Raw genomic sequence first — 7784 nt, 5'->3', positions numbered from 1 at the left:
CCCCTGCTGGGGGGTGCCTCCCAGTTAGGCTGCTCGGGGGTCAGGGGTCAGGGACCCACTTGAGGAGGCAGTCTGCCGGTTCTCAGATCTGCAGCTGCGTGCTGGGAGAACCACTGCTCTCTTCAAAGCTGTCAGACAGGGACATTTAAGTCTGCAGAGGTTACTGCTGTCTTTTTGTTTGTCTGTGCCCTGCCCCGAGAGGTGGAGCCTATAGAGGCAGGCAGGCCTCCTTGAGCTGTGGTGGGCTCCACCCAGTTCAAGCTTCCCTGCTGCTTTGTTTACCTAAGCAAGCCTGGGCAATGGCGGGCGCCCCTCCCCCAGCCTTGCTGCCGCCTTGCAGTTTGATCTGACTGCTGTGCTAGCAATCAGTGAGACTCCGTGGGCGTAGGACCCTCCGAGCCAGGTGCGGGATATAGTCTCCCGGTGCGCCATCTTTTAAGCCCGTCGGAAAAGCGCAGTATTCGGGTGGGAGTGACCCGATTTTCAGGTGCTGTCTGTCACCCCTTTCTTTGACTAGGAAAGGGAACTCCCTGACCCCTTGTGCTTCCCGAGTGAGGCAGTGCCTCGCCCTGCTTCGGCTGGTGCATGATGCACACACCCACTGACCTGCGCCCACTGTCTGGCACTCCCTAGTGAGATGAACCTGGTACCTCAGATGGAAATGCAGAAATCACCCATCTTCTGTGTCGCTCACACTTGAACTCATCCTTTTTTATGGCTGCATAGTATTCCATGGTGTATATGTGCCACATTTTCTAAATCTAGTCTATCATTGATGGAAATTTGGGTTGGTTCCAAGTCTTTGCTATTGTGAATAGTGCCACAATAAACATACTTGTACATGTGTCTTTATAGTAGCATGATTTATAATCCTTTGGACATATATCCAGTAATGGGATTGCTGGGTCAAATGGTATTTCTAGTTCTAGATCCTTGAGGAGTCGCCACACTGTCTTCCACAATGGTTGAACTAGTTTGCACTCCCACCAACAGTGTAAAAGTGTTCCTATTTCTCCACATCCTCTTCAGCACCTGTTGTTTCCTGACTTTTTAATAACTGCCATTCTAACTGGTGTGAGATGGTATCTCAATGTGGTTTTGATTTGCATTTCTCTGATGACCAGTGATGATGAGCATTTTTTCCTGTGTCTGTTGGCTGCATAACTGTCTTCATTTTTTTTTTTTAATTGGTAATAGAATTTATTCAAATTGTGCCTTAATATAGGCGCTGGGGCTTGCCCATGGTGCTCTTGATATATAAGGCCCGGACATTCTGCCAGTTTTTCTTGAGCAATGACCCCAAGAAGTTGACAGCCAGGTGAGTGTTATACACAAGCTCATCGTCTGTCATCTTCACGTGACCAACAGCTACAGCCAGACATAACACCTTCTTCATTTGGAACTTGATTGTCGACTTCACCTCATCCACTTTGGCCACCATATTTTCATTTTGTGTGAGCAGTGAAGGGAACTTTCCTGCCTTATTTAGACCTGGGCTGAGGATTCGTGGAATCTGCTTGATCAGAGACTCTGAGGCCAAAAACGCATCATACTTCTTGACCAGCTTCTTGACCAGTTTTTTATTCTTGTTGAGGTTTTTCAGCGTCTTGATGTCCATGTGGGGGATATCTATGGCCTTAGCCTCGTCACAGTGCTGCTGGTCCCCCAGGACACACACAGAGAACTTGGGGTGGGGAGTGGACTTAAGCCTGACGGTGCCCGAGAAGCGCTTGTCCTTCTGGGGGTCATAGTTCTTCAAGCTGATGTGCAACTCCATCGTCTCCAGGAACTTGTGGCGCTTGCACTGGTTCCCATGCAGGACTTCCCGCACCGCCTTGTACAGGGTGTCGCAAGAGACTTTGCTGCTCATGGCTTCTCCCGCCACGCTAACCGGAAAAGAGCAAATGTCTTCTTTTGAGACATGTCTGTTCATATCCTTTGCCCACTTTTTGATGGGGTTGTTTGTTTTTTTCTTGTACATTTGTGTAAGTTCTTTGTAGATTCTGGATATTAGCCCTTTGTCAGATGGGTAGATTGCAAAAATTTTCTCCCATTCTGTAGTTTGCCTGTTCACTTTGATGGTAGTTTCTTTCTGTGCAGAAGCTCTTTGGTTTAATTAGATCCCATTTGTCTATTTTGGCTTTTGTTGCCATTGCTTTTGGTGTTTTTTAGTCATGAAGTCTTTGCCCATGCCTGTGTCCTGAATGGAATTGCCTAGGTTTTCTTCTAGGGTTTTTATGGTTTTAGGTCTAACATTTAAGTCTTTGATCCATCTTGAATTAATTTTTGTATAAGGTGTAAGGAAGGGATCCAGTTTCAGCTTTGTACATATGGCTAGCCAGTTTTCCCAGCACCATTTATTAAGTAGGAAATCCTTTCCCCTTTTCTTGTTTTTGTCAGGTTTGTCAAAGATCAGATGGTTGTAGATGTGTGATGTTATTTCTGAGGCCTCTGTTCTGTTCCATTGGTCTATATCTCTGTTTTGGTACCAGTACCATGGTGTTTTTGTTACTGTAGCCTTGTAGTATAGTTTGAAGTCAGGTAGCATGATGCCTCCAGCTTTGTTCTTTTTGCTTAGGATTGTCTTGGCAATGTGGGCTCTTTTTTGGTTCCATAGGAACTTTAGTCTTTTCCAATTCTGTGAAGAAAGTCATTGGTAGCTTGATGGGAATGGCATTGAATCTATAAATTACCTTGGGCAGTATGGCCATTTTCATGATACTGATTCTTCCTATCTTTGAGCATGGAATGTTCTTCCATTTGTTTGTGTCCTTGTTTATTTCGTTGAGCAGTGGTTTGTAGTTCTCCTTGAAGAGGTCCTTCACATCCCTTGTAAGTTGGATTCCTAGGTAATTTATTCTCTTTGTAGCAATTGTGAATGGGAGTTCACTCATGATTTGGCTCTCTGTTTGTCTGTTATTGGTGTATAGGAATGCTTGTGACTTTTGCACATTTATTTTGTACCCTGAGACTTTGCTGAAGTTGCTTATTAGCTTAAGGAGATTTTAGGCTGAGACGATGGGGATTTCTAAATATACAATCATGGCATCTGCAAACAGGGACAATTTGACTTCCTCTTTTCCTAATTGAATACCCTTTATTTCTTTCTCTTGCCTGATTGCCCTGGCTAGAACTTCCAACACTATGTTGAATAGGAGTGGTGAGAGAGGGCATCCCTGTCTTGTGCCAGTTTTCAAAGGGAATGCTTCCAGCTTTTGCACATTCAGTATGATATTGGCTGTGGGTTTATCATAAATTATTATTTGGAGATACATTCCATCAATACCTAGTTTATTGACAGTTTTTAGCATGAACGGCTGTTGAATTTTGTCAGTGGCCTTTTCTGCATCTATTAAGATAATCACGTGGTTTTTGTCTTTGGTTCTGTTTATGTGATGGATTACATTTATTGATTTGTGTATGTTGAACCAGGCTTGCATCCCAGGGATGAAGCCAACTTGATCATGGTGGATAAGCTTTTCGATGTGCTGCTGGATTTGGTTTGCCAGTATTTTATTGAGGATTTTCGCATCAATATTCATCAGGGATATTGGTCTAAAATTCTCTTTTTGTTGTGTCTCTGCCAGGCTTTGGTATCAGGATGATGCTGGCTTCATAAAACGAGTTAGGGAGGATTCCCTCTTTTTCTATTGATAGGAATAGTTTCAGAAGGAATGGTACCAGCTCCTCTTTGTACCTCTGGTAGAATTCGGCTGTGAATCCGTCTGGTCCTGGACGTTTTTTGGTTGGTAGGCTATTAATTATTGCCTCAATTTCAGAGCCTGTTTTTGGTCTATGCAGGGATTCAGCTTCTTTCTGGTTTAGTCTTGGGAGGGTGTATGTGTGCAGGAATTTATTCATTTCTTCTAGATTTTCCAGTTTATTTGCATAGAGGTGTTTATAGTGTTCTCTGATGGTAGTTTGTATTTCTGTGGGATTGGTGGTGATAACCCCTTTATCATTTTTTATTCCGTTTATTTGATTCTTCTCTCTTTTCTTCTTTGTCTTTTCTTCTTTGTCTTGCTACCAGTCTATCAATTTTGTTGATCTTTTCAAAAAAGCAGCTCCTGGATTCATTGATTTTTTGAAGGGTTTTTTTGTGTCTCTATCTCCTTCAGTTCTGCTCTGATCTTAGTTATTTCTTGCCTTCTGCTAGCTTTTGAATTTGTTTGCTCTTGCTTGTCTAGTTCTTTTAACTGTGATGTTAGGGTGTCGATTTTAGATTTCTCCTGCTTTCTCTTGTGGGCATTTAGTGCTATAAATTTCCCTGTACACACTGCTTTAAATGTGTCCCAGAGATTCTGGTACATTGTCTTTGTTCTCATTGGTTTCAAAGAACATCTTTTTTCTGCCTTCATTTTGTTATTTACCCAGTAGTCATTCAGGAGCAGGTTGTTCAGTTTCCATGTAGTTGTGCGTTTTTGAGTGAGTTTCTTAATCCTGAGTTCTAATTTGATTGCACTGTGGTCTGAGAGACAGTTTGTTGTGATTTCTGTTCTTTTACATTTGCTGAGGAGTGCTTTACTTCCAACTATGTGGTCAATTTTGGAATAAGTGCGATGTGGTGCTGAGAAGAATGTATAATCTGTTGATTTAGGGTGGAGAGTTCTGTAGATGTCTATTAGGTCTGCTTGGTGCAGAGCTGAGTTCAAATCCTGGATATCCTTGTTAACCTTCTGTCTCATTGATCTGTGTAATATTGACAGTGGGGTGTTAAAATCTTCCATTATTATTGTGTGGGAGTCTAAGTCTCTTTGTAGGTTTTCATTTCTTTTTACTTGTTTTTCTCTAAACTTCTCTGTTTAATTTCATTAATTTGATCTTCAATCACTGATACCCTTTCTTCCACTTGATCGAATCGGCTACTGAAGCTTGTACATGTGTCACGTAGTTCTAGTGCCATGGTTTTCAGCTTCATCAGGTCATTTAAGGTCTTCTCTACACTGTTTATTCTAGTTAGCCACTCATCTAATGTTTTTTCAAGGTTTTTAGCTTCCTCGTGAAGGGTTCGAACATCCTCCTTTAGGTCAGATAAGTTTGTTATTACTGACCTTCTGAAGCCTATTTCTGTCAACTTGTCAAAGTCATTCTCCGTCCAGCTTTGTTCCGTTGCTGGCGAGGAGCTCTGATCCTTTGGAGGAGAAAAGGCGCTCTGGTTTTTAGAATTTTCAGCTATTCTGCTCCGGTTTCTCCCCATCTTTGTGGTTTTATCTACCTTTGGTCTTTGATGATGGTGACCTACAGATGGGGTTTTGGCGTGGATGTCCTTTTTGTTGATGTTGATGCTATTCCTTCCTGTTAGTTTTCCTTCCAACAGTCAGGTCCCTCAGCTGCAGGTCTGTTGGAGTTTGCTGGAGGTCCACTCCAGACCCTGTTTGCCTGGGTATCACCAGCAGAGGCTGCAGAACAGCAAATATTGCAGAACAGTAAGTATTGTTGCCTGATCCTTCCTCTGGAAGCTTCATCTCAGAAGGGCACCCGGCTGTATGAGGTGTCTCCCAGTTTGGCCACATGGGGGTCAGGGACCCACTGGAGGAGGCAGTCTGTCCGTTCTCAGAGCTCAAACACCGTGCTGGGAGAACCACTGCTGTCTTCAGAGTTGTCAGACAGGGACGTTTAAGTCTACAGAAGTTTCTGCTGCATTTTGTTCAGCTATGCCCTGCCCCCAGAGGTGGAGTTTACAGAGGCAGGCAGGCCTCCTTGGGCTGTGGTGGGCTCCACCCAGTTCGAGCTTCCCAGCTGCTTTGTTTACCTACTCAAGCCTCAGCAATGGTGGACACCCCTCCCCAAGCAGGGCTACCACCTCACAGTTTGATCTTGGACTGCTGTGCTAGCAGTGAGCAAGGCATGGGACCCATTGAGCCAGGCATGGGACCCACTGAGCCAGGCATGGGATATAATCTCCTGGTGTGCCGTTTGCTGAGACTGTTGGAAAAGCGCAGTATTTAGGTGGCAGTGTCCCGATTTTCCCGGTACAGTCTATCATGGCTTCCCTTGGCTAGGAAAGGGAAATAACCAGACCCCTTGTGCTTCCTGGGTGAGGCGATGCCCCACCCTGCTTTGGCTAACCCTCCGTGGGCTGCAGCCACTGCCCAACTGGTCCCAATGAGATGAACCAGGTACCTCAGTTGAAAGTGCAGAAATCACCCATCTTCTGTGTTGAGCACGCTGGGAGCTGCAGACCGGAGCTATTCCTATTCGGCCATCTTGGAACTGGACCACTACCTAGTATTGTTAATGTGTTGCATATTTTCCATAACAACCCATTAGCAGATATGTAATGCCTTGAAATTTTCTCCCAGCCTTTCTCATTGGGTTCATTGTTTCCTTTGCCTTGCAAAAACTTCTCACTTTCATGGAGCTATGCATGTCTATTTTTGCTTCTGTTGCTTGGAATTTTGGTGCCCAATTAAGATATTTCACAAATGATTCCATTCTCAATGAGACTGTACCCCTGTGTATTCCGTTTTTTCTTTTGTTTCTGTTCTTTTTTTTCCCCACTCCTTGCAACCTGTGAGTATGGCTTCAAATTGCCCTGAAAGTAAGCTTCCTGTCTTTTCTTATAGGAATTTTATGATGTTTCATGGTTTCAGGTCTTGTGTTGAGGTTTTGAATCCATTTTGAGTTGATTTTTGTGCATTGTGTAACAGAAGGGTCCTGTTTCATTCTTTGCATATGGATATTGGTTTTCCCAAAAGAGTTTGATGAAGAAAATCTCTCTCCCCATTGTCTCTTTCTAATCTCTGATGCTGATTTCACTTGCTTTGGAGGCATACCCAGTAGTGGGAATGTTAGATTATATGGTAGTTGTATTTTCTTTCTTTTTTTTTGAGACAGGGTCTCACTCTGTTGTCCATGCTGGGGTGCAGTGGAACAGTCTTGGCTTACTGCAGCCTCCACATCTCAGGCTCAAGAAATTTTCCCACCTCAGCCTCTGTGTACCTGGTACCACAGGCATGTGTCACCATGCCTGCCTAACTTTTGTAGATAGAGAGTTTTGCCTGTTACCTGGGCTGGTCGTGAACTCTTGAGCTCAAGCAATCTGCCCACATTGGCCTCCTGGTAGTTGTACTTTCAAATTTTGAGGGAACTCCAGCTCTTTACCGTAATGTATATACTAATTTATCTTTCCCCCAACTGGAAAAAAGAGTTCCCTTTTCTTCAAATCCATACCAGCATTCTTCTTTTTTAGATTTTTTTTTGTGTGTGTGGCTAGGAATGGTGGCTCATGCCTATAATCCAAGCACTTTGGGAGGCCGAGGTGGGTAGGATCACTTGAGCCTAAGAATTCGAGACCAGCCTAGGCAACATGGCAAAACTTTATCTGTACCAAAAATAAAAAAGTATTAGCCAGGTGTGGTGGGTGCGTGCCTGTAGTTCCAGGTACTCAGGAGGCTGAGGTGGAAGGATCACTTGTGCCCCAGAGGTTAAGACTGCAGTGAGTCATGATCCATGCCACTGCACTCCAGCCTGGGTGACAGAGTGAGTCCCTGTCTCAAAAAAAGTTTTTAAAAATATTTTTAGTAACATTCATTCCAGTAAGTGAAATGGCATCTGAATGTGTGTGTGGTTTTTTAATTTTTTTTTGGAGACTGAGGCTTGCTCTGTCACGCAGGCTGGAGTGCATTGATGAGATCTCGGCTCCCTGCAGCCTCAGCCTCCTGAGTTCAAGCAATTATCATGCCTTAGCCTCCTTAGTAGCTGGGATTACAGGCGTGCACCATGATGCCTGGCTAGTTTTTTTGTATTTTTAGTAGAGACAGGGTTTCACCACGGCCAGGCTG

At 43.9% G+C, this 7784-nt stretch overlaps 1 pseudogene; it reads right to left on the bottom strand.

Annotated features, from left to right (window-relative positions):
• RPL10AP2 (ribosomal protein L10a pseudogene 2) lies at positions 1186 to 1901 on the bottom strand (annotated as a pseudogene).

Source organism: Homo sapiens, chromosome 8, assembly GCF_000001405.40.
Source record: "Homo sapiens chromosome 8, GRCh38.p14 Primary Assembly".
In the NCBI taxonomy this organism is placed as follows: domain Eukaryota; kingdom Metazoa; phylum Chordata; class Mammalia; order Primates; family Hominidae; genus Homo; species Homo sapiens.
Note: the sequence above shows the minus strand (reverse complement) of the source record. Positions and strands in the feature narration are given on the sequence as shown.